The sequence below is a fragment of the Homo sapiens genome, chromosome 18 (assembly GCF_000001405.40).
Source record: "Homo sapiens chromosome 18, GRCh38.p14 Primary Assembly".
In the NCBI taxonomy this organism is placed as follows: Eukaryota; Metazoa; Chordata; class Mammalia; order Primates; family Hominidae; genus Homo; species Homo sapiens.
In genome coordinates this window covers 50781120-50806661 of record NC_000018.10, presented here as the reverse complement: position 1 = coordinate 50806661, position 25542 = coordinate 50781120, and the positions used below count along the sequence as shown (strand labels likewise).

The 25542-nt window shown below is 44.0% G+C and overlaps 1 protein-coding gene across 12 annotated transcripts in view; it reads left to right on the top strand.

Annotated features, from left to right (window-relative positions):
- The window catches only part of MRO (maestro), a 30251-nt gene extending 18719 nt beyond the window's left edge, over positions 1 to 11532 (top strand). For 7 of the 12 annotated variants that reach the window (NM_001369510.2, XM_047437883.1, NM_001369508.2 and 4 more), the window contains 4 exons: positions 1326 to 1508; positions 5158 to 5313; positions 6519 to 6626; positions 7272 to 11532. In NM_001369510.2, the coding sequence (NP_001356439.1) occupies positions 1326 to 1508; positions 5158 to 5313; positions 6519 to 6626; positions 7272 to 7325 (501 nt within the window). In that variant the 3' untranslated portion in view covers positions 7326 to 11532. The remainder of the gene's footprint in view (positions 1 to 1325; positions 1509 to 5157; positions 5314 to 6518; positions 6627 to 7271) is intronic. The other 5 variants (NM_001127174.3, XM_011526226.4, NM_001369511.2 and 2 more) reach the window with 1 other exon arrangement.
- Positions 11533 to 25542: the final 14010 nt, after the last annotated feature.

The following is a 25542-nucleotide window of genomic DNA, read 5'->3' as shown; positions in this document are numbered from 1 at the left end:
CCAACCACCTTGGTGTGGAGACTCCCAGGGCTGGAGTATGGTGTCTGTTGTATTAGTTATCTATCACCCCGGAACAAACCACCGCACACTTAGCAGCTTACAGCAACACGTGTTGATTATCTCGGGTTTTCGCGGGTCAGGAGTCCAGGTGCAGCTCAGCTGGGTCATCTGCTTAGGATCTCACGAGGCTGCAATCAAGCGTCTGCCAGACTGCATTCCTTCCTGAAGCTCAGGGTTCGCTTACATCGTTGTTGGCAGAATTCAGTTACTTCCCATTGTGGGACAGAGGTTTCTGTTTTTTTGCCTGCTGTATGCCGGGGGCCACTTTCGATGCCTACAGGCCACTCTGTCACAGCAGGCAGCTCACTTCCTCCAGGCCAGCAGGAGGGTGTCGCCTCCTCCTGTCTGCTAAGATAGAGTCTTATGGGCTGGGCCGTAGTGGTTCACGCCTGCAGTTCCAGCACTTTGGGAGGCCAAGGCGGGTGGACCACTTGAAGTCAGGAGTTCAAGACTAGCCTGGCCAACATGGTGAAACCCCATTTCTTTTATATTTTTGTAAAAATACAAAAAATTGCCCAGGCATGGTGGCATGTGCCTGCAATCTCAGCTACTCGGGAGGCTGAGGCTTGAGCAGAGATCACACCAGGCACTCCAGCCTGAGCGACAGAGCGAGACTCCATTTCAAAAAAAAAAAAAAAGATAGAGTCTTATGCAATGTAAAGTCATGTCCGTAGGCTGGAAGCGAGTCACAGGTTCCTTCTGCACTCAAGGGGAGGAGACTCATTCAGGGTGTCACTCATTCAGGGTCATCTTAGGCTCATGACACCTCAGCAATATCAGCTGTGAGAGACAGAGCTGCAGGAAGGATAAACTCACAGCTGTTACCCTTCCTGGTGAATTTAAGTGATTTTTTTTTCTAGTAATTTAATGTTTGTTTCATAAAAGATGTTTTTCCCACCTCCTCCTTTACCATCCGCCAACTTCAGTGTCCATTTTGTCTCCTCCCCACTATAAAGGTACCTAGTTCTCCCCAGGCCCTGAGATCACCCAGGTCTGCTGCCCTATTTGAAGAGCCCCACTGAGCCTCACCCACCCACATGCCACACTCCAGATTGCTCTTTCTGTTTTCCTTCCTAGGCTGAGTTGGGCTCTTGGGTTGGGTTAATGGAAGCATTTGTATTTTAATGAGAGTTGTGCAGATCTTGAAAAAAGCCCTGGTGTGTTAGTTCAAGTCCTAGGTTATTAGTAGCTTAGATGTGGGGTTGCTTTTCAACCTATGGGGAGCAGTTCCTGTGCTATTACTGCTTTTCAAACCTTGGTGACAGGTGAGAAAGTATAAGAAAATTGTCCTCGACCTGCTGGTGTATGGACTGTATGACCCTGTGAATTTGGAAGTCATCCATGAGAGTATGAAGACTCTGACCGTCGTTCTGGGCAAGATCCAGGGGAAAGGTTTGGGTTCCTTCTTCATAGATATCACCCTTCAGACCAGGACTTTATTAGATGACGTAAGTAAATCAGAAAAATTCTGGGTTATTGAAATCAAAATGGGCTTAGAAATATGACTGTGGGGCCGGGTGCGGTGGCTCATGCCTGTAATCTCAGCACTTTGGGAGGCCGAGGCGGGTGGGATCACGAGGTCAGGAGATCGAGACCATCCTGGCCAACATGGTGAAACCCTATCTTTACTAAAATACAAAGAACTAGCTGGGCATGGTGGTGCACGCCTGTAGTCCCAGCTAGTCGGGAGGCTGAGGCAGGAGAATCGCTTGAACTTGGGAGGTGGAGGTTGCAGTGAGCCGAGATCACGCCACTGCACTCCAGCCTGGCAATAGAGCAAGACTCCCTCTCAAATAAAAAAAGAAAGAAAGAAATGTGAGCTGCGGGTGGTTTGTTGCTGTGGGAACAAGGTCTCTAGTATTCACTTATTTATTACCACATCTTGTTGAGAGACTAGTACTGTGCTAGGGGTTGGGAGGACATGTAAAGATGTATAGAATTTTATCTCTAACCCTCAAGGGTTTTTTTGTCTGTTTGAGACAGGGTCTCACTCTGTCACCCAGGCTGGAGTGCAATGGTGTGATCTCGGCTCACTGCAACCTCCACCTTCTGGGCTCAATTGATCCTCCCACCTCAGCCTCCCAAGTAGCTGGGACTATAGGCACATGCCACCGCAGCTGGCTAATTTTTGTATTTTTGGTAAAGATGGGTTTTCACTATATTGCCCAGGCTAGTCTCAAACTCCTGGGCTCAAATGACCCACCTGCCTTGGCCTCCCAAAGTGTTAGGATTACAGGTGTAAGCCACTGTGCCTGGTGAGTTTTCATCTTAACAGAGAAGTGGGTATATTTACACTGATGATGATGTACACTGATTGACTAACATGTAGTCAATGCTGTCTTATAAATGTGGCAATAGCAATGATTAGTGTCTAGTGAGCCCTCACTGTGTGCCAGGCACAGTGCTAGGCAATTTACATGAATCATCTCATATAATCTTCCCAATAACCCTGTGAGATGGGCACTGTAATTATCTTCACTTTGTAGACAAGGAAACCAAAGCACAGAAAGGTTAGAACTTGCCCAAATTCACAGAGCCAGGAAGTGGACATGCCACCAGCTCCTCTGACTATAGGGCTACACTCAACTACCAGATGACAAATCAGGCTAAGCAAAAAGTGCACCGGCACATCGTTCAGCCCGAAACTGAGAAGAGTCAGAGACCCTGACTGCAAGCTAACAAGTTAGCCTGCCAGTTATTCTGTCCCTGAAAGACAAGACCTACAGAACAGCGAACAGACCGTTTATTTACTCCCAGAGAGATTTGCATCTCCCCACGCCCTAATTCTCTCCGGAGCCACGTGGCGAGAGCCAGATGTGTCAGCAGGACAGAAGGGGAGAAGAGGCCTTGACCTTATGTAACTTGGAGCTCATATGGGAGCTGGGCACATGTGTCTCACCTGCTCCAGAGACACAGAGGGATTTTTGCTCTTGAATGTAAGCCAGTCCTCTCTGGGGAGGGAGCGGGCGAAGGTCCCTACTTACCACCCTGAAGTGTAAGCAGATGTCTCCGGGGAGATGGCTCTAAATCTCTTGGAGGAGCCATCTGAACTTCGAGGACTTGTTTGTCATTCAACCACTTTTTTTTTTTTTTTTGAGACAGGGTCTCGCTGTATTGCCCAGGCTGGAGTACAGTGGCAGGAACACAGCTCACTGCAGCCTCAACCTCCCAGGCTCAACTGATCCTCCCACCTCAGCCTCCTGAGTGGCTGGGACCACAAGTGCATGCCACTGTGCCTGGCTAATTTTCGTAGTTTTTGTAGAGATAGGGTCTTGTTATGTTGCCCAGGCTGGTCTCTGACCGGGCTCAAGCGATTCTCCTGTCTCGGCCTCCCAAAGGGCTGGGATTTCAGGCATGAGACATGTGTCTGGCCTTCAACCATTTTTTTAAACCCTGGTTGCCTGGAATTTTTGAGCAGAAATCCCCGGCCATGTAGAAACACAGAAATTCTTATGCAGAGCTGTTTGCTGATAGTTTACATCTCCATTACAGATAGCACTCTTCACTATCTGAGGCCATGAAGCTCACCCGTGCGTGTGTTCCCAGTTAGATGGTTGTCAGACTCCTAGCGGGGCGAGCATCTGTCTTACGTGTCTGTACATCTTAAAGCATTAGGGTATGGCTTTGAATGGGGTACATTCTCCATTAAAATTTGTTAAACACACACACACACACACACACACACTACACACACACATACACAAACACTCACTAATAGAGCCATGAAGATAATACAACCCTAAGCCAGGCATGGTGGTGTGTGCCTGTAATCCCAGCTACTTAGGAGGCTGAGGCATGAGGGTCATTTGAGCACAGGAGTTGGAGGCCAGCCTGGGCAATGTAGCAAGATGTTGTCTCTAAAACAAAAACAAAAACAAAAACAAAAAAAAACAAAAACCCTAAGACAATTTCTGTATGCATCATGTGCTAAATTTTTTAAAGATACTTCACAATATGATTAGTGTTCCTCAGTCTTGCTGGGTCTCTGTGACCCTCAGTTCTTTGTGCTTCTTCCCCGCTGTGAAGGCCCACCCCAGCCCTCCTCCCTCTGGTTTACCTGGAGGAGGACTTAGACTACAAAACACTGATATAAAAACCCGTGCACCATGAGTCAGGTGTTTAGGTTACTATACTGGCTCTGTTACCCGACAGTGTGATTTTGGGCAAGTTCCTTAAGTGCCTTGGGCCTTGGTCTCCTCACCTGGAAATGTAATACTTGGACCAAACAGCTCACCTTGGAAAGAAAGAGAGGGCGGAGTCCACTGAAATGCACTCAGGGACAAACCAACCAATCAGACTGGAAGCAGGGAGAGGTGGGAGGGTGTTGGGGGAAGAAACATGATTATTATATCCACTGCAGATAGGAGAAACTCAAACCAAAAGCAAAGAGAAGAGACTTGGCAAAAATGCTGGAGTAATAAACAGGGAACTGGTTGAATGAATTTTGGTGCAGAAAAGAAAAAGAGAAAAAAGAAAAGAAAAAGAAAAATGAAAACTCTTTTATGTATTGATGTAGAAAGAGCTCTCAGACTGATGAAAACTCAAGGTGCACAACAACAGTGGCATGTGCTTCCATTATGTAAAAAAGAGGGAAAGGATTATGTGATATACATCTTTCTTCTTTATTTTTTGGAGAGATACACACAAAACATAACTTTATTAGCTTGTGGGGAGGAAAATTTGGTGGCTGATGGAGAGGAGTAGGAAGTAGACCTACTTTTCCTGTAAAGCTTTTTGGTTATTTTGAATTTTGGGAAGTTTATAAATGTATTCTATCTCCAAAACATGAAATAACGAACAAAAAATCTGGGAAGGTGGGAGTAGCACTAGTGATTTCCCAGGCTAGTCCTCTCGTCTGCTGGAGAAGAGGTTCATTGAAGCCTTTGGGCCCTCTTCAAGCCACCCCCACCCACCCAGCTAAGTGCTTTAGACCAGATCTCACCACCCACCCTGTAATGTACAGTCAAGATCGATGGCTGTGATGTGTTCTGATTGACGGCTGTGATGTGTTCTGACCGATGGCTGTGATGTGTTCAGATGCAGTTGCCTTTTGGTAATGATCTGGCTTTCTTATTGTTTTGTTGATGGGGACCGCAGGAGAACGACAGTCTGAGATACTCGGCCTTTGTTTTGTTTGGGCAATTGGCTGCCTTTGCCGGGAGGAAATGGAAAAAATTTTTCACCAGTCAGGTTAAGCAGACACGAGATTCCCTCCTGATCCATTTACAGGACAGAAATCCCCAGGTTGCCAAGGTAAGACCTTGACTCTGCAACCAACAGAGTGACATCTCCATGCTATTCATAAAGGGAGTTGCGAGTTGAGACGCCAGACCCTAGGGTTCCTGCCAGCACTGCTGTAGATACTTAGCAGCGTTTCTGTGTGCATCCTTGACAAGGTGCCTCTTTGGTGTGTAATCTCTCTTTGAGCAAGAGTGTTGGTTTCCATCTGCCCCACCTGCCCAAGCCCAGCACCTGTCAATGCAAGATAAGCTCAGGGTAATGGGGTTGAGGGCAGAGAGGCACAGGTTTAATCAATGGTGCAGCAGCCCACATAATGAGGATATTTATTCATGCCCACTTAGCTTTTGTCATTGTGCCTGGTATAGATTTCCACCCATGGCTTCTTTTCTTTTCTGTTCTTTTCTCTTTTCTTTCCTTCCTTCCTTCTTTCCTTCCTTCCTTTCTTCCTTCGTTCTTTCTTTCTTTTTTTTTTTTTTGAGACAGTTTTGCTCTTGTTGCCCAGGCTGGAGTGCAGTGGTGTGATCTCGGCTCACTACAACTTCCGCCTCTGGGGTTCAAGCAATTCTCCTGCCTCAACCTCCTGAGTAGCTGGGATTACAGGTGCCCACCACCACGCCCTGCTAATTTTTTGTATTTTAAGTAGAGATGGGATTTCACCATGCTGGCCAGGCTGGTCTCGAACTCCTGACCTCAGGTGATCCACCCACCTCAGCCTCCCAAGGTGTTGGGATTATAGGCGTGAGCCATCTTGCTGGGCTCCACCCATGACTTATTAATTTCTTCTGGTAGTTTTGTTTTATTCTTGGAGAAAATTGTATCCCAACAAGGTTGGATCAACTTCAGGCCTGCTTTGGAGTGGGACTTGGTGAACGTTTCAAAACAATTGGGAGCAAAGCTTTCTACCAAACCACTTGCCTTCTTTAAGTTACTGAGAGAGAGATTAAATTTAGGAATCCAGTACTACTTTTGATGGGATAATAACAAAGGCTGTGCTAAACTGTAAAGCTACGCCCTTCCCACCAGTCCCCAAATTATAGACATGGCCATTTTATAAGCATACATCCTTTAAGATTCAAATTTTGAAACTACCTGGAAGTTACTTTCACACTTTCAGTGGGCCCCTGACCACAGATTGGGTGCAATCCTCTAGGATACTTTTCCTTGCTTGGGATTATGGAACTCTCTAATAAATAAAATAGTAATATTATTTTTCTCAGGCTTGCAAAACAACATTTCAAGCCTGTTCTCCATATCTGAAACTAAAGGAGGAATACAGCTTCCAGAGTGAAGAAGATCAAAGGAACACTAAGCTCTACCAGCAGCTGGTGAGTGAGCCAGGGTAGGAGAGAATTCTTTTCCGGTCCCTGCCCTCCTGGTGGTTAACACGGAAGGTGGCCAAGCACAAGAAAGAGTTACCCCCTTAAAATGACTCAGGCCAACTATGTTTATTTTTTTATTTTTTCTTTTTTTCTGAGAAGAGCAAGTGCAGTGGCACCATCTTGGCTCACTGCAGCCTTCACCTCCCAAGTTCAAGTGATTCTCGTGCCTCAGCTTCTTGAGTAGCTGAGATTACAGGCGTGCACCACCACACCCGGCTAATTTTTGTATTTTTAGTAGAGATGGGGTTTCACCACGTTGCCCAGGCTGGTCTTGAACTCCTGATCTCAAGTGATCTGCCTGCCTCAGCCTCCCAAAGTACTGGGATTACAGGCATGAGTCAGCATGCCCGGCCAAGCCAACTGTGTTTTGATTGTAATTGACCCATCATACAATGTAAATGGCAAAACGCCTAGAGGATCAAGCACGAGATATATCGGCAGTTCCAATTCAGGTCACTAGCTGGATACAGATGATGCCTCCACCTCTCCTGCTTATCCACATGCCCTGCACTGATCACTGCCTACTAGTTACATTGTCAAGGAAGTTTGTTGAATCCTGCCCTCACGCGTACCTTTGCTAATTTCTTTCAGAGCCACTATCATCCAGAGATCCTGCAGTTCTTCTACGCAAATAAAATTCTGTAAGCGCAGAGCAGCAGGGAAATGGTTCTGTATGAGTGCATTGCTGAGCCATCATGTTCCCCTGTTTTATCTCACTGGATGCCTCTTCTCACTGCTTGCCTCTTGGGATTGTAATGGGAAAGAGGGTGCTGGGAGAGCAATCAAAGGCAAAAATAATACATGGAATTGTATGATTTTATCTAAAGTAAAATTCTAGACTGCTTTCACTTATTTCATTTCCTCCCCATACAAATTTGATGAGCAGGTACACACTTTCTTTAAAACATTCCAAGTGTATATAGATTCAGTGCTTATTTCTCAGCTTTTTCTTTCTTAAGTTCATCTCTGTCACCTAGCTTTTATTTTTAATACTCAATTTCTGAGGCTTAGGAGAATACTTGTTACCTTAAGCGTTTTTTTGTTTTTTTGTTGTTGTTGTTTTGTTTTTTTTTAGTGTATTTGCTATTGATACTTTGCTATTGATACCTTTACTTGCCAAGATTTATTTAAAGTTGGCCAAGATACCAAGAAGGTGGCTTGCAGGGGCATCTTTGGCTTCTCATAATTTTAAACAGTCATTGCTTTCAAGATCATGCTAAACAAGAATTAATAGAGAGAAAAAAATCTATAAAGCATGTGTTGAAAATCCTCAGGCTCATGATAACTTACGGGATAACAATAGTAGGTAACACCGAGTGCTTACAATTCAGTGGGCACGGTCAAAGTGCTTTTTGTAAGTTCTATTTAATACTTGCGACAACCCTGAGATAGTAAGTATTATTATTGTTCTCATTTTATAGATGAGAAAGCTAACACATAGGGAAATTAGGTAACTTTCCCCAGATAACTCAGTAAACAGTGGAGCTGGAATTCAAACATGTACGGTCTGACTTCTTGAGCCCATACTCAATAATCATGCCATCCTGCCTTTCCATGGAATAACTGATGGATGGTTAGAAATGTTAAAAACAAAGCAAATGCAAACATCTCTGCTTCTGCTCCTCTACTAAGCCCAGTTAACTTTTGATTTTATATGTACTAAGTATACATTTTTATTAATTTATGTGAGCTGAGTGTTTTTATTAATTACTTTTTGGCTATTAATGTCAATTATTTTGGTGATCAATCCTAGTTATCCAAGGAGTCACATCACTCGTAAAAATTACAAGAAAAATCTCTAAGTCCCTCTCACCCTCCCTCTAACCAGATTGCATCCCAAGCTTCTATAGAAACTCTGGTACCACCCCTGAATTCAGTATCCAGGCCACACCCGGAGCGTTTTGTTCAAGACAATTTAAAACACGGGGGATTATAAAAGCTATAGCTGGATCTTAAGTGGCATTCTGAGAATGAGGAACTCAATTTTCTGCTGTAGCTCCCAGGGACAGGGTGGTGTGACACAGATGCGGGGATGAGGAGAGACCTAGGCGAGATGAGGATGTGGGAGATGGCAGACAGAGTGGCAAGTGCCAGGCAGGAATGGATTTTCTTCCTTCCTGTTCTGAATCTGAAGAACATGACAGCAAGAGATTTTAGGAGGGACACAGGCTCACGAGCAAATGGGTGGTTCTGAGCTGTAAGCCCCCTGCCCCTCCCTAGCACCCACTCCCCGGATGCTGGCCTCTTTGAAATTTTGTTGCAAGGTTGGTTTAAACTTGATGCAGTTCCATTAAGTGATCAGTGAGTGGTCTGAGAAATGGCTGCATGTGGCTGGCATTCAAAAAGGTGGGGATAGGGTGAGATGGGTGGGGTTACGTGCTCTGGAGTAGAAAAACCTATGCAGTTAATGTCCCTCTGTCGGTTAAAATTGTGGAAGATGCGGTTGGATTATTTGACTTTAAGATTCAATGGTAGGCTTTTATTTTGGTGGCCCCCAATGAGTCATGCCTCCTGATACTCATGTCTTTATTTAGTCCCTTCTGTTTGAATCTGGGCTGCCTTTGTGACTTGCTTTAATCAGGAGATTGTGATAAATGGCACTGTGCCGGGCATAGAAACCCTGGCAGTTTCCTCGTTTGAATTGTGGGGGAAGCCAGCTGCCACATAAGGAGTTGAACTACCAGGAACAAATGAGAGTGCCTGAGATCACCATGTGAAGGAGAACGGAGACACCCAACCCACAGCAGAGTCTGAGGCCCGGACACATGACACAAGTTGTCCCTTCCAGCCAGACCCGAGCTGTTGAAGCTACTCCAGCTGACACCATACGGAAAAGAGACGAGCGTCTCCATCAAGCCTGTGTCAGTTGCAGAAGCATGAACAAAGAATCAAATGATTGTTGTTTTAAGTCATTAACCTTTGGGATAATTTGTCACACTGCAATAAGTAACCAGAGAAGATTCCTTATTATTAACTGTTGTCTTGGCTAATTTTGTTTTGCTCTTCATAAGTCCTCTTTGAGTTTAAATTCTATTTCCAGAAATTTATGTTATCATGAAATTTGGTGGCAAGAGCAAGGGACTATGTTTTTTTGTTTGTTTGTTTCTGTTTCTCACCATACCTACCACAGAGCCTGGCCATGTGATTAAGGAACATTTGCTGAATGACTAAATGATTCCAAATTGTAGAGGGAATAAAGTCCAATGTCCAGTCTGCCATTTCAGGCTTTCAACCTTCGTTTTCTTCTGTTACTCTCTTTGCTTCAGACAAGTTTGGGTCCTTTCTCTTCTCTCAACATGTCTTGTTCTCCTATACCCCCTCACCTTTGCTCAGTCTGCTATTTCTGTGTTGAGTCCCCTCCCTGCTCACCTGTACACACCCACCTGGAATCACATGCACACACACACACACACATTTCACGTGTATCTCTTATCTGTACTCCAATGCCTAGGTCAAAGTCCTGATCCCCCCAATCAGGGGAGAGCTCAAGTCTCTGAATTCCCAGAACATTCTAGCAATATTATACCACTTATATCTTATCTGAAAAGTTTTTTTTTGTATATGGCTTTATGTTTTTTTTTTTATCCTGTTAGATTGAAACTACAGAAGGCAGGGCTGTATCTTGTACATCATTGTATCTCCCCGGTGACTGCAAAAGTACTCTGTAAATGAATGTTGATTAGGGGGAAAAATGTCAGAAAGTCATCTGAAGCTGTCATTCCTTACTGGGAGGAGCCCATTTTGACAAATGAGGGTCACCAATTTCATTCCTTATAACCAATGTACAGGTTACTTTTATGCTTGTGCATTTCAAGTTTCCCCTTCCCCACGTTTATCTGAATGCCAACCCAAAGGTAATGTTTTGACATTTCTTAATTTTGAACATTAATTTTGAACCTTATTGAGCAGTTGAATGAAAGAAAGAAAAAAGGAATGTTCAAGTGCCCCGACCCTCATGCTAAGTGCCCAGGGTAGAGCTTTGCTTGGTCCCTGTGTCTCTGGTGCTCATGAGATAGGTCTTTCTTTCTTTATTTTTATTTTTGAGATGGAGCCTCACTCTGTCACCCAGGCTGGAGTGCAATGACACGATCTCGGCTCACTGCAACCTCCACCTCCTGGGTTCAAGCGATTCTCCTGTCTCAGCCTCCTGAGTAGCTGGGATTACAGGTGCCTGCCACCATGGCTGGCTAATTTTTGTGTTTTTAGTAGAGACGGGGTTTCACCATGTTGGCCAGGCTGGTCTCAAACTCCTGACCTCAAGTGATCTGCTCACCTTGGTCTCCCAAAGTGCTGGGATTACAGGCGTGAGCCACCGCTCCTGGCTGAGATAGGTCTTTCTTAAAGGGGAGAGGGAAGTGGTGGAGAGAGAGGAGAGAAAATGACAAAGGAGGAGGCTGAGAATCTAACAGGTGTGACCAATTCTGCTACTGAATGAGAGCAGAAGCCTGTGAACTTCCAGTTAATAGACCACTTAATTGGGGGAACGCTTCACACGTTATAAAAAAGCACTAGAATGTTTTGAAAGCGAGAAACAACAGCTGTGTAGGGTAGCTAGCAGTTAGTGTTGTACAGAAGACAGATATTTGTGCATTTCTGCATTTTCTAAGTTTGCTGCAATGAGCATGTATTACTTTCATAGTTATAAAACACATGCAAAATGCCCTTTTAAAATGAAAAAAAAGTCCATGAGTGTAAGTGATATATATGCTTTGGAAAGCCTGGGACGGTCATTGTTTACTCTCAATAGTATGTGTTTGCCTTTGTCTTTTTGAGACATTTTGTTTTAATCTGTTGATGACAATAACCTGTTGATAATATAACTTGATAACAAATAAAATGACTTATGATTGATTATCATTTTATTTATGTGACTGAACTTACATTAATTTTGTCTGACCACAGTAGAGTAAATATTTTGTTCCTTTATTTACATGTTAAATGGTTTCAGGAAAACCCTGGGTTCTAGATAAAGCCAACACATCCTAATTTACTGAGGAGGGATGATTTGATATGCAAAGGCACCTATTATTTACCAAGTTAAGCACTTGGGAGTTAAGGCTCCCAAGCCAGACTTCTAAGATTCCTTATAATAAACACCAACCTAGAATTTCCCATGATGCTTCCTCGATTCCTACTGTCTGGAATACTTTCCAGTTCCTTGGTTCTATCAGCCATTCCCTGGACTGACTCCAAATGCCCTCTTCTTCAGAGGTAGAGCAGAGCTGCTGGAAGAATGCAGCCTGGCTCTGCCATTTAGCCAAGTGTGGGCAAGTCAGCGCACCAAGCCTCAGTGTGCTGATATGTGAAATGGAGACAATAACCCAATGTATAGAATTGCTGGGCTGCAAAGATTCAATTAAGTCACACTGAGCACTTGGCAGAGTGCTTGGTACATAGAAGGTGCTCAGGAAATGTTATTTTTGTTCCTCATTCCTAACAAACTCTCCAGACATTATTTCTTCTCTTCTTGAAGCTGCCCAGGTCTTCAGACAGGTCCATTGGTAATTTGAGCATTACCCTGATCCACCAGTCCTGGAGGTAGCCTCCGTATCCTTTATTAGTTCTCCAAGAATGTGGCTTTGAGCCTTGCCTGACATGGGTGTTCAGTAAAGATTGGTTGAATTCTTCGAGTTGCAAATGCTGGCATTTTGACCAAGTAGGAATCTGTCACCTGATAGGTTTTGGAATTTTAATACAGATAAGAATCATAGCAATGAGAATAGCAAGTGGTTCTTTCCCTCTCGGCCCTTTGGGGTGCTGTGATTGCTCAGAGCGGGAGCAGTGCATTTTTATGCTCTAGAGATGGTTTCAATAGGCCCTGTTCATTCCATCCTAATATTCCCAACAGCTCTGTTAAGAATTCTGTATTGTATCTTTTAAGCAAGCTCTTGTTAATAATTAACACCCCACCTTCTTTTTCCAAGGGTGATGCTATTAATCATGTTCCTTTCAAGCAGATGAATTTCCTACAGCAGTTTGCAAATGTTAACCAGGTAATGGCCCAAATGTCTCCCGCAAGAAGGAAATGTTTTTCAGAAATGCGGATCAGAGAGTTAAAAATGTCATTTCCTAAGCGACACTGCTAGAGGCACATGCCTCTGCCACAGCAAAAATGCAATCAGAAATCCAAAGCTTTTCAACCTGCCTGCCTGACTGCATCAGCAGATATAACCAGCCGCTGGAAGAGGAGAGAAGCTCAATTCTCAAATGTGACATCATGCGGGCTGAAAGGACACTACATTTGGTATCAGAAGACCCGGCTTCATAGTCTGACTCTATCATTTACTAGCTGGTTATCTTGAGCAAGTCACATAACCTCTCAGAGCCTTGGGGTCTTCATTTGTCAAGTGGAGGTAAAACCCACAGCACAAGTTACTCTGATGATCAGATGAGACAGTCCATGTAAACTGTGGACCATTACTCCCAAATGGAGTGTTCCTGTTTACATGGTAGCCACTCATGATTGGAGCCTATTTATACAAGGTGGAGGATGGAGGGAATGAAATAAGATGTTAACACAGATCTCAATTTATTTATTTATTTGAGATAGAGTCTCACTCTGCTGCCCAGGCTGGAGTTCAGTGGCGCTATCTCGGCTCACCGCAAACTCCGCCTCCGAGGTCCAAGCAATTCGCCTTCCTCAGCCTCCCAAGTGGCTGGGATTACAGGCACATGCCACCACGCCTGCTAATTTTTGTATTTTTAGTAGAGACGGGGTGTTGGCCAGGCTGGTCTTGAACTCCTGACCTCAAGCGATCCGCCCATCTTGGCCTCCCAAAGTACTAGGATTACAGGCGTGAGCCACTGTGCCCAGCGTACTTGTGGCCAGGTGCCACAGATTTTAATTTAAAATAAATAATAAAATAAATAAATAATAAACAATAAAATAACATAAATAAATAGTATAAATAAAAATAAATAAAAAATAAAAGCACCAAGTAATCACTATGCATAAATATCTTAAAAATATAAATGCAATAAGATTAGGTAGATACATTGTTTTACATAAGGCTGTTTGTTCCAGATACTAAGTACCCATTACATGTCAAATAGGATTCAGTTTACAAGTTTAATACCTATCTATTTTGTACAATTTAGTTATATCCAAATTTTTTGGTATGATAGAAAGAATAACATTCAGAAGTTGTGGAAAACCTGACTCTTTTCCTTTAAGTTACTCTAATAGTAAGATCAAGTTTAAGTAGCCTGGGCGTGGTGGCTTACACCTGTAATCCCAGCACTTTGGGAGGCCGAGGCGGGCAGATCACGAGGTCAAGAGATGGAGATCATCCTGGCCAACATGGGGAAACCCTGTCTCTACTAAAAATACAAAAATTAGCTGGGCGTGGTGGCACATGCCTGTAGTCCCAGCTACTTGGGAGGTTGAGCCAGGAGAATGGCGTGAACCTGGGAGGCGGAGCTTGCAGTGAGCTGAGATCGCACCACTGCACTCCAGTCTGGTGACAGAGTGAGACTCCGTCTCAAAAAAAAAAAAAAAAAAAAAAAGTTTAAGTCAAAAACTAATTAAACTCCATTAGGGAAAAATGAAAATTTTATATGTTTGGATTTAAATCTACTAGAGTGACAGTTGATTTACTAGCTTCCAACAAGCCTGAGAAGAGGAAGCCCAGGAATGTGAGATTTTCTGACGAGTAAGATCTACACACTGTGCAGAGTGGTGGATTAAATTAATTCAAAGCTAGTGAGCTCATTTTACAACTTAAAGGAACAAATTCAATTTCCTAAATAAAAATTTTATGACTTAAGGGAACAAACACAATTTCCTATAGTAAACATGGTTTGCTTATTTACGTGGTTAAACTATTTGTATTTATGTCTGGTGTCCTCCCATTAACTATCAATAAACAAAGAGAGGGTTTTATTATGAAGGTAATGGAATTTGCATAGTTAAATCTGTTTAATCTTAAAAGACCTTTGCCCTACCTGGATCTGTGATTATACCAGGACTTAACGATTAACCAGCTCACTCTTACCTTTCCCAAGAAAAGTAAGGGCTGGCCAACCATTTTGGATTTCCCAAGCCTTTTCATTAAATAAGATGGAGACTTAGATGTGAACAAATGAGGTCTGCCTAAGAAATTAAAACCTATAACTTCTGGTTTCCCCAGCATTGACGCAAGACTGTCTCCAACTGGCTGTGTGACTGCCCCCAACTGGCTATAGGATGGGGAGGAGTCTGAGCTGGTGGGGTTGGTTCATCCATCTCTAAGGGGTGTTCAAATCTTGCCCTCTCTGCTTCTGTGTGTTTCTGGAGCTGGAGCCTGTGGTGTGGCCAATGGCAGGCAGCCTGTGGCAGAAAGTTGAGCTTTAGAGCTTCTACTTTCAAAGTTCTTTAGATAAGAGAGCAGTTCATGATGATTTCTTAACTGAAGAAATACTGTCAGTATTTTTTCATGGATGGGCTTTAAACAATCATCAAAAATAAGCAACAAACAGACAGGCAAAGCCATTGCCTAGTCTCTAGTTCACTCCTCTGCTTTCCCCCTTCTGGTCCTGCCCTGGCTCCACTGGGTGAAGTAAATCCAGCCTGTGTGACATGTGGAGTCTTGCAGAAAGAGGCAGTGGGCAAGATATCTCAGCTGGTTTCTCCCAATGGAGGGTTTGGCTAGGATGGGATTTCCTGCAGGGCGTGTGTGGTGAGGAGGTGGAAATCATTTCTCATCTCAAAACGTAATCCCTCTTTCCCTACTGTGAATATAGCCACCCCCAGAGCCTATCAGGCACATCCCTTGCTCTTTTTAATAAAGCCCTTTCACTTGGGGTAAGCTCTGTTAGGTGGACATGTACTATTCAGCTTAGTCTTCATGCTCTGCTGCTGGGGTATTATCTGCCCATAGCCTGTTACAGCAGGTTTGAAGGCTGCCGGAAGAACTGCAAGTACCTCATGCTGTTGTGCCCTCTCTAGAACAATTTAACAGCATGAGTTGTATTATCATAGTCAATTAGGATTGCTGTACATCTCCCTCCTGCCATGAGACTCATTTATTACCAAATTTAAGCATATTTCTTTGACTGATTTATTCAACACTGTTAGGTGCCATTGATTCCAAAAATTTGGGGAGTACATATTTTTATGTGTGTGTGTGTGTGTGTGTGTGTGTGTGTGTGTGTAATACAGGGTTTAAGTAATGCTTTTGCAGAAAGAGAAACTCTTCCAAATACACACTACTTCTCAAGGAACCTGTATTTCAAGGAGTGCTAGAAAATCCAGCAAAGCAGCTGTTAAACCACTTCCATCCCACCATGACAAATAGTCCAATCTAGCTAGGATTCCTTTCTTTCTTCTCTCTCTCTCGGCACTTACAATTTGACAACTAACTTTTGGACTCTAGGGACTTATCTTCTTCCAATCCATAATTACATTCTTAAGAACTCAGTCCCTTGGAGACTCACCAGGACTTTGCATTCTTTTGATCTGCATGAGGAGGCGTTCTATATTAAGAACTGCTGATCTTTTCCTGGGACCCCCATTTGGAAGGACTGTCTGAAAGATTCCACTTGCATGGTTGGCCTGGCATGAGCTAACATCTCTCTTCAGCTGCTGTGGAATGTTCCTTGGGAGACAGGTGCTCTAGGTGCAATTATGGCTGACAGGGACGTCAGCCAGAGGAGGCCTCTGCTTCATGGGGATGGCGCATGCATGTGGCACTCCTTGTTTCTCTGTAGAACCCTGCGACTCCCCTTCTCACTTCCCCCTTCTGAAACTTCCTTTCACCAGGGGACCTCAGCCCCGCATGTACCCCTTGCAGCCCCTTAGCCTGCTGCCTTATACCACGGAGCAGGCGGAGAGCTCCCAGTGTGGGGGACCCTTGCCCAGAGTTGGGGGTGGCAGCAACCCTCCATGAACCTGCTCTTTTTGGCCTGGCCTTGGCTTTTCTCTGCTGTAATCAATAATCAATAATTCCACATCCTATTTTCTGAGGGCCCTGTTCACCCTGACCTCCAAGGAGACAGAGTTGTCAGATCATTATACGTGAGCAGTGAAGCTGGGTGTGGTGGCTCACACCTGTAATCTCAGCACTTTGGGAGGCTGAGGTGGGAGGATTTCTTGAGGCCAGGAGTTTAAGACCAGCCTGGGCAACACAGTGAGACCCCATGTCTAAATATATATATATATGTATGTATACATATATACACATATATATGTATGTATACATATATACACATATATATGTATATATACAAATTAACCAGGCCCAGTGGCACATGCCTATGGTCCCAACTACTTGGGAGGCTGAGGCAGGAGGATCACTTGAGCCCAGGAGGTCGAGGCTACAGTGAACCATAATAGCACCACTGCATTCCAGCCTGGAAGACAGAGAAGACTCTATCTCTAAAATGTGTGTGTGTGTGTGTGTGTGTGCAGTGATTGCGCAGGATCCTTCCAAAGGATATTTGCATTGTTTCCTGGGCCTCTAGTGTATGCTGTCCAATATGGTAGTCTCCAGCCACAGGTGACTGCTGAGTAATTTAAAGATGGCTAGTCTAAATTAATAAGCACTGTAAGCATATGAAAAACACACTGGAAGCCTGGGTATGGTGGCTCACGCCTGTAATCCCAGCACTTTGGGAGACTGAAGCAGGTGGATCACCTGAGGTCAGGAGTTTGAGACCAGCCTGGACAATATGGTGAAATCCCATCTCTACTAAAAATATGGACAAAAAAAAATTAGCTGGGCATGGTGGCGGACGCCTGTAATCCCAACTACTTGGGAGGCTGAGACAGGAGAATCACTTGAACCTGGGAGGCCGAGGTAAAAGTGAGCTGAGATCAAGCCACTATACTCCGGCCTGGGCAACAAGAATGAGACTCCATCTAAAAAAAAAAAAAAAAAAAAGAAATACACATTGGATTTTGGACACCTACTATCAAAAAAAGAATGTAAAAATATCTTATTAATCATGTTTTATATTGATTATATTTTGAAATGACAGTATTTTACATATATCAGGTTAAATAAAATATATTCAAAGTTAATTTCATCTGTTTCTTTTTAGTGTTTCTTAATGTAGCATCTAGAAAATTTTAAATTATGTTTGTGGCTTGCATTATATTCCTTTTCACACAGTGCTGCCCTAGTGTATGTTTGAAAAGCCAGGCAAGCTACTCCAGAGGCTGAGGCACAAGAATCTTTCGAACCCGGGATGTGGAGGTTGCAGTGAGCAGACATCGTGCCACTGCACTCCAGCCTGGGTGACCGAGGGAGACTCCACCTCAAAATAAATAAATAAATAAATAAATAAATAAATAGCCAGGCAGCTGGGGAGAGATTTTGAGCAGGGATCCTGAGAAAGCACATTTTTTTTACGATGCTTACTGGCTCCCTCCAAGAATAAGGGTGGCTTTGATGGGGGGTTTGGTGGGCGTGAGCTACTGCAGTAGTCTCCTGTCCTGTAACGTGAGGTGTGGGGTGAGCAAGGAGGGAGGAGGTAAAAGAGAAAGCTAAGTCATTGGCAGAGGCCGAAATTCCTGCCCCTGGATGGGACAGTCACAGCCCTGACGCATGGTGGGCCTCATCAACTGGGGGCGGGGGCTGGTAGTGCAAGAAAATGCCTGAAAGCTCAACTAATCTGTCCCTCTGCCCCTGGGAAAATATCAGCTAAGTCATTTTGGCACCTGTGGGGATAGAACCAGGCTGGGGCACTGTGCCCCTGCCACCAGCTCTGTGACCTTGTGCAGGGTGCTCTTCTTCCCTGGGCTTCATTTTGCTGATCTTAAATTGAGGGAGATGAATCTGTTCAAAGACCCCACCCCTCCGACTGTGCATGCATCATTGTGTCACCTCTCACAAAGTTGAACACTTAACCTCCAGGCTGAGGGGACCCATCACCCTAGTTTGCCCAGGACTGAGGGTTTTCCTGGGTCACAGGACTTTCAGTAATAAACTGGGACAGTCCTGGGCAAACTGGGACAAGGCCAGTGGCAGAGCTGGGACTAGAAACCAAGGAGTTACCGAATGGTGTGTGTGGGAACGGGGCGGTGGGGGGACTGAACAGGAGGGGACTGGTGGGGGAGCTGAAGAACGGAACGCTCCTCTTTCTTCTTCCCGCAGCCGCCCGTGGAGCAGCAGCTGTTTCTAGAATGACTGATGGGTGCAGGAATGGGGAGAGAATATATAGGTGAGGGTTTTTGGCAATGCACTTACGTGCCTCTCCTAGCCCTCAGCTGCTGTATGGAGCCCACTAGGCCTATATGGTCGAGGGTAAGGTCCTTAATGGATCTGCTTCTGCCCACTCATTCAGTGTGAGGTTACCAGAAACAGGCTGTCCCTTCCTGTACCTCCCTCTCTAAGTAGAATCATTCTAGAACCAAGACTATCACAGGCGAGTGTGAAAATAGTCATTATTACTACTTTTATTTTTATTTTATTTTGTTTTTTTGAGATGAAATCTTGTTCTGTCACCCAGGCAGGAGTGCAGTGGCCTGATCTCGGCTCACTGCAACCTCCGCCTCCTGGGTTCAAGTGGATCTCCTGTCTCAGACTCCTGAGTAGCTGGGATTACAGGCGCCTGCCACCACGCCCAGCTAATTTTTGTATTTTTAGTAAAGACCAGGTTTCATAATGTTGGCCAGGCTGGTCTGGAGCTCCCGACCTTCAGTGATCCACTCATCTCGGCCTCCCAAAATGCTGGGATTATAGGCGTGAGGCACCGCATCGGGCCTATTACTATTTTTAAAATTAGGAACTTCTTCTCTTTTGATTAGCAATTATTTTTTATTCTGTTTCCTCAGTACTTGGTGGGGACAGCGCCCCATGTGCATCAATCACTGCAGCTGAGTAAAAGGCTGCACTTACAGTTCCTAGCATCGAAAGCCAGAGCTTTATCCAGGACACGGCTTCCTAGGGGCTTCTCTGCAGTGCAGGCCAGGCTGGTTGCTTAGGAATCCCTCAGAGTGGTGGTTAAAACTGCACATTCCTGAAAATTCTGAATGAGTAGGTCAGAGGTGGGACAAGGGAGTCTATAAGGGTGAGCTTTGAAAAGCTCCTGGTGAGTTTGGTGCACAGCCTGCTTTGGGAGTGAGCAGTGGTTCACAGTCCAGGCTGCACCTTAGAATCACCTAAAAAGCCAATGCCCAAGCTGCCCCACAGACCTATAAAATCAGACTTTTGGCCAGGCACAGTGGTTCACGCCTGTAATCCCAGCACTTTGGGAGGCCGAGGCAGGCAGATTGCCTGAGCTCAGGAGTTTACGACCAGCCTGGGCAACACGGTGAAACCCCATCTCTACTAAAATATAAAAAATTAGCTGGGTGTGGCGGCGTGTTCCTGTAGTCCCAGCTACTCAGGAGGCTGAGGCAGGAGAATTGCTTGAACCCGGGAGGTGGAGGTTGCAGTGAGCCGAGATTGCGCCACTGTACTCCAGCCTAGGCAGCCTAGGTGACAGAGCGAGACTCCATCTCAAAAAAAAAAAAAAAAAAAATCAGACTTTCTAGAGGTAAGATCTGGGTATCAATATTTTTAGAAAAGCTCCCCAAGAGCTTTAAAAATCTATCAAAGTGTATTGATGAAGACATTATGCTAAAAGCAATAAAACAGAAACTAAAGGACAAATACTGTATGATGCCACTTAAACGAGATTCCTAGAGTAGTCAAATTCATAAAGATGGAAAATAGAATGGTGGTTTCCAGGACTGGGGGGAGGGTGGATGGGGAGTTATTGTTTAATAGGTACAGAGTTTCACTTTGGGAAGATGAAACAGTTCTGGAGATGGGTGGTGTTGATATTTACACAGCAATGTGAGTGTGCTTGTGTTAGTTTGTTCTCATGCTGCTATAAAGAAATACCTGACTAGGTAATTTATAAAGAAAAGAGGTTTAACTGGCTCACAGTTCCACAGGCTCTACAGGAAGCATGACTGGGAAGGCCTCAGGAAACTTCCTATCATGGCAGAAAGCGATGGGGAATCAGGCACATCTTACAAGGCTAGGGCAGGAGGAAAAGAGAGTCAGGTGTGGGGGGATGCGCTACACACTTTTAAACAACCAGATCTCATAATAACTCACTCACTATCACAAGAACAGCACTAAAGAAGAAATCTGCCCCCATGATTCAATCACCTCCCACCAGACCCCACCTCCAACATTGGGGATTACTCAAGATTTGCGCGGGGACACACACCCAAACCATATCAGTCCTCAATGCCACTGAACTGTACACTTAAAAACAGTTAAAATGGTAAATTTTATGTATGTATATTTTACCACAATCAAAAAGGGGGTGTTGACTAAAGTGTGCCTTTGTCTTCCTAGTCCCTTAGTTCTCCCCAGAAAAATCATATTACCCAGTTTCACATTACCTAGTTTCTTCATTATCCTTCCAGACATATTCTATGCACTTATAAGCACATTGGAATATAGGTATTTTTTTTCACATCGATGTGGAAACATTACACGTTTACATGATGCTTTTTTTTTTTTTTTGATGGAGTCTCACTGTCACCCAGGCTGAAGTGTAATGGCACGATCTCAGCTCACTGCAACCTCTGCCTCCCAGGTTCAAGTGATTCTCCTGCTTCAGCCTCCCAGGTAGGTGTGCACCACCATGCCCAGCTAATTTTTGTATTTTTAGTGGAGACAAGGTTTCACCATGTTGGCCAGGCTGGTCTTGAACTCCTGACCTCAAGTGATCCACTGCCTCTACCTCCCAAAGTGCTGGGATTACAGGTGTGAGCCACCACGCCTGGTCTACATGCTGCCTTTTTAATTTTTAAAAACTTATTTATATTATTAATTAATTTGAGACAGAATCTCGTTCTGTTACCCAGGCTGGAGTTCAGTGGTTTGATCATGGCTCTCTATAGCCTCCACCTCCTGGGCTCAAGCCACTCTCCCGCCTCAGCCTCCTGAGTAACTGAGAAAGAATTTGTAGAGGGGTGAGTGGGGAGTGGAGGGCCAGCTGCCTTCACAGCCCCGGTACCTTGGCTGCCAAACATCTCCAGCCCTGGGTTCTGCACTCACAGCAGTGGTGGCCACCTCAGTCAGAGGGGGGGACACCAAAGCTGCTCAGTGACCAGAGGAGGGCGACAACATCCCTGCTTTTCACCCTCTAAGAGCCATTCTTTCAACAGACAGGTTTAGACTCTCCAGACCACACTTGGAATTCTCACACCAAGGAAGGCTTTGTTCTGTTGCAGGGGAAGGAGAGGGAACCACTCTTCATAGCAAAGGCTTGCAATTTCTTTTCATTCATATCTCCAGCCTTTAAATGGGTATTTGTTGAAGCCTTTTGATGTGCTTTGTGCTAATCGCCTAAGGATTACACTGCCTTGTCCTATGGGAGCAGTAGCCTCTGCCCTCCTGTATCTCTGGCCACAGGTATCTTTCTACTGCTGAGGTGCCCCAGCCCAGTCCACTCACCTTGGCTTGGGCTGCTCCAAGGGAAGCACTTCTCCTTGCTTTCCTGGGCTGGCTAATTTCCCCTCACTGTTTCAGAATCCATGCCATGCCCCTTCTGTGTGTGTGTGTGTGTGTGTGTGTGTGTGTGTGTGTGTGTGTTTGGAGGAGGGGTGTGTACAATTCACATAATATAACATTAATCATGTAACCATTTAAAAGCGTACAATTCAGGCTAGGATGAAATGTACACTGATTATGGGCTCATACCTGTAATCCCAGCACTTTGGGAGGCCGAGGCTGGCGGATCACTTGAGGTCAGGAGTTTGAGACCAGCCTGGTCAACATGGTGAAACCTCATCCCTACTGAAAATACAAAAATTAGCCAGGCATGGTGGCGCACACCTGTGATCTCAGCTACATGAACTGCTTGAACCTGGGAGGCAGAGGTTGCAAGCGAGCTGAGATCATGCCACTGCACTCCAGCCTGGGCAAAAGAGCAAGACTGTCTAAAAAAAAAAAGTGTACAATTCAATGACATTAGTACATTCATAATTTTGTGCAGCCTTTACTACTATGTAGTTCTGGAACATTTTTATTACTTCCAAAGGAAATTCTGTACCCTTTATTCAGTCACTCCCCTTTTCCCCTTCCCCCTAGTCCCTAGCAATCACTAATCTGCTTTCTGTCTCTATGGGTTCACCTGTCCTGGACATTTCTTATAAATGGAGTCATACAATATATGGCCTTCTTTGTGTCTGACTTCTTTTGCTGAACATGTTTTTAAGGTTCATCCACACTGTAGCATGCATCAGTACCTCATTCCTTTTTATGCTGGACAATATTTCTGTGCATGGATTTACCACATTTTGTTTCTCCATCCACCTGTTGATGAACACTAGTTAGATCGTTTTCACCTTTGGCTGCTGTGATAAAGCTGCTATGAACATCAGTATACATGTATCTGTTTGAGTCCCTGCTTTCAAGTCTTTTGGGTGTATATCTAGGAGTAGAATTGCCAGGTCATATCGTAAGTCGATGTTGAACCACCAAACTGTTTTCCACAGTGGTTCACCATTTTTCATTCCTGCCAGCAATGTACAAGGGTTCCAACTTCTCCACGTCCTCACAAACACGTATGTTCCATTAAAAAAATTATGTCCATTCTAGTCAGTGTGAGGCGGTATTTAATTATGATTTTGATTTGCATTTTCCTAATGACTAATGATATTGAGCATCCTTTTATGTGCTTGTTGGCTGTTTGTATATCTTCTTTAGAAAAATATCTATTCAAGTCCTTTTCTCATTTAAACTATTGGGTTGTCTTTTTGTTATTGAATTGTAAGAGTGCCTTATACATTCCCAATACTAGACTTTTATCAGATATACGATTTTTAAATATTTTCTCCCATTCTGTGGTCTGTCTTTTCACTTTCATTATAGTATCTTTTGATGCAACAAAATTTTTCATTTTTGTTTTTGTGAGACAAAATCTGGCTTTATCACCCAGGCTAGAGTGCAATGGCATGATCTCGGCTGTCTGCAACCTCCGCCTCCCGGGCTCAAGCCATCCTCCCGCCTCAGTCTCCCAAGTAGCTAGGACTGTAGGCATACACCACCATGCCTGGCTAATTTTTGGATTTTTTTTTGTTTTTTTTGTAGAGATGAGGTCTAATAAAAGCCAACTAGATCTTTCAAACTCAATTGGTGGAAATTTGGTTCTTTGATAATCTGAACTTTATTAAGAAAATAAATTTCTCACTGTTTCTTACTTTTTTGTTGTTGTTGTTGAGACCGTCTTGCTCTGTCGCCCAGGCTGGAGAGCAGTGGCGCGATCTCGGCTCACTGCAACCTCTGCCTCCCAGGTTCAAGCGATTCTCCTGCCTCAGCCTCCTGAGTAGCTGGGGTTACAGGCACGCGCCACCACACTTAGCTAATTTTTGTATTTTTAGTAGAGATGGGGTTTCACCATGTTGGTCTGGCTGGTCTCGAATTCCTGACCTCATGATCCGCCAGCCTTAGCCTCCAAAAGTGCTGGGATTACAGTTGTGAGCCACCATGCCCAGCCTGTTTCTTACTTTTAATTGGTCTTTGTTTGCCTCTCAATTCTTAAGCCTCCTCTCCCCCAGTAACATTTCCCCCACCCCATGACAGCCACCCACTTTCATTGGTATTTCCTTTACCTTATCACCAATAACTCCACTTTCCATAATCATAGTTTCAGAAACCCCAGGCTCCAACCACCACCTCATATGTCATCAGGGAATTGCAAATTAAAAAAATAAGGTATCACTACACACCTATTAGGATGGCTGAAATCCAAAACACTGACAACACCAAATGCTGGTGAAGATGTGGAGCCACAGGAACTCTTCTTCACTGTTGGTGACAATGCGAAATAGTGCAGCTACTTTGGAGGACAATTTAGCAGTTTCTTATATAGCTAACATAGTTTTACCATATGACCCAGCAATCACACACCTAGGTATTTACCCAAATGAGTTGACAACTTAGGCCTACACAAAAACCTTAACACAAATATTTATGGCAGCTTTATTCATAATTGCCAAAATTTAGAAACAACCAAAATATCCCTAATATATATGAATGGATAAACAAACTACAGTACACCATGCAATGAAATATTATTTAGTAATTTAAAAATGAGCTGTGATGCCATGAAAAGATATGGAGGAATCTTAAATGCATATTGCTAAGTGGAAGAAGCCAATCTGAACCCACATACTATATTATTATGGAAAAGTCAAAACTATGGAGACAGGAAGATCAGTGGTTGCCGGGGGCTAGCAAAGACAGAAAAAGAGGTAAACTTGTAGAGTACAAAGAATTTTTAGGGCAGTGAAGCTGTTCTGTATGTTACAGTAATGACGGATAGATGACATTATACATTTGTCAAAACCACAGAACTCTACAAACAAGTGTGAACCCTAATGTAAACTGTGGAGTTTAACTAATAATAGTGTATCAATATTAGTTCATCAACTGTAACGGATGTATCACACCAATGCAAGATATTAATAATAGGGGAACTGTAAGGGGAAAGAAGGAAGTGAATGGGAATTCTCTGTATTTTTTGCTCAATTCTTCTGTAAACATAAAACTCTTTAAAAAAAATTTAAACCTCTTCAGCCAAAAAAAAAAAAAAAGAGAGAGAGAAAGTACTTTTTCTGTGCCATTGTTCCCTTTTGCTGTCTTTGAATGTTGTTTACTTGAAACTATAATGTTGAGAACTGCTGTATCTATCCCATCTTGCAACTATGAAGGCACAAAGTGGAGAACAAAATCCAGCACCTTGAGGTGAGCAGAATTAAACAAAACAAAACAACAGTAAAATTGTTTTTAAAGACGTTGAAGGTTTGGATTAACTGTCCCTGAAACTGTCCTATCTCCAGACTTCTTTTTGTAAGAAAATAGATTTCTCAGCAAGCATGGTGGCTCATACCTGTAATCCCAACACTTTGAGAGGCCGAGGCGGATGGATCACC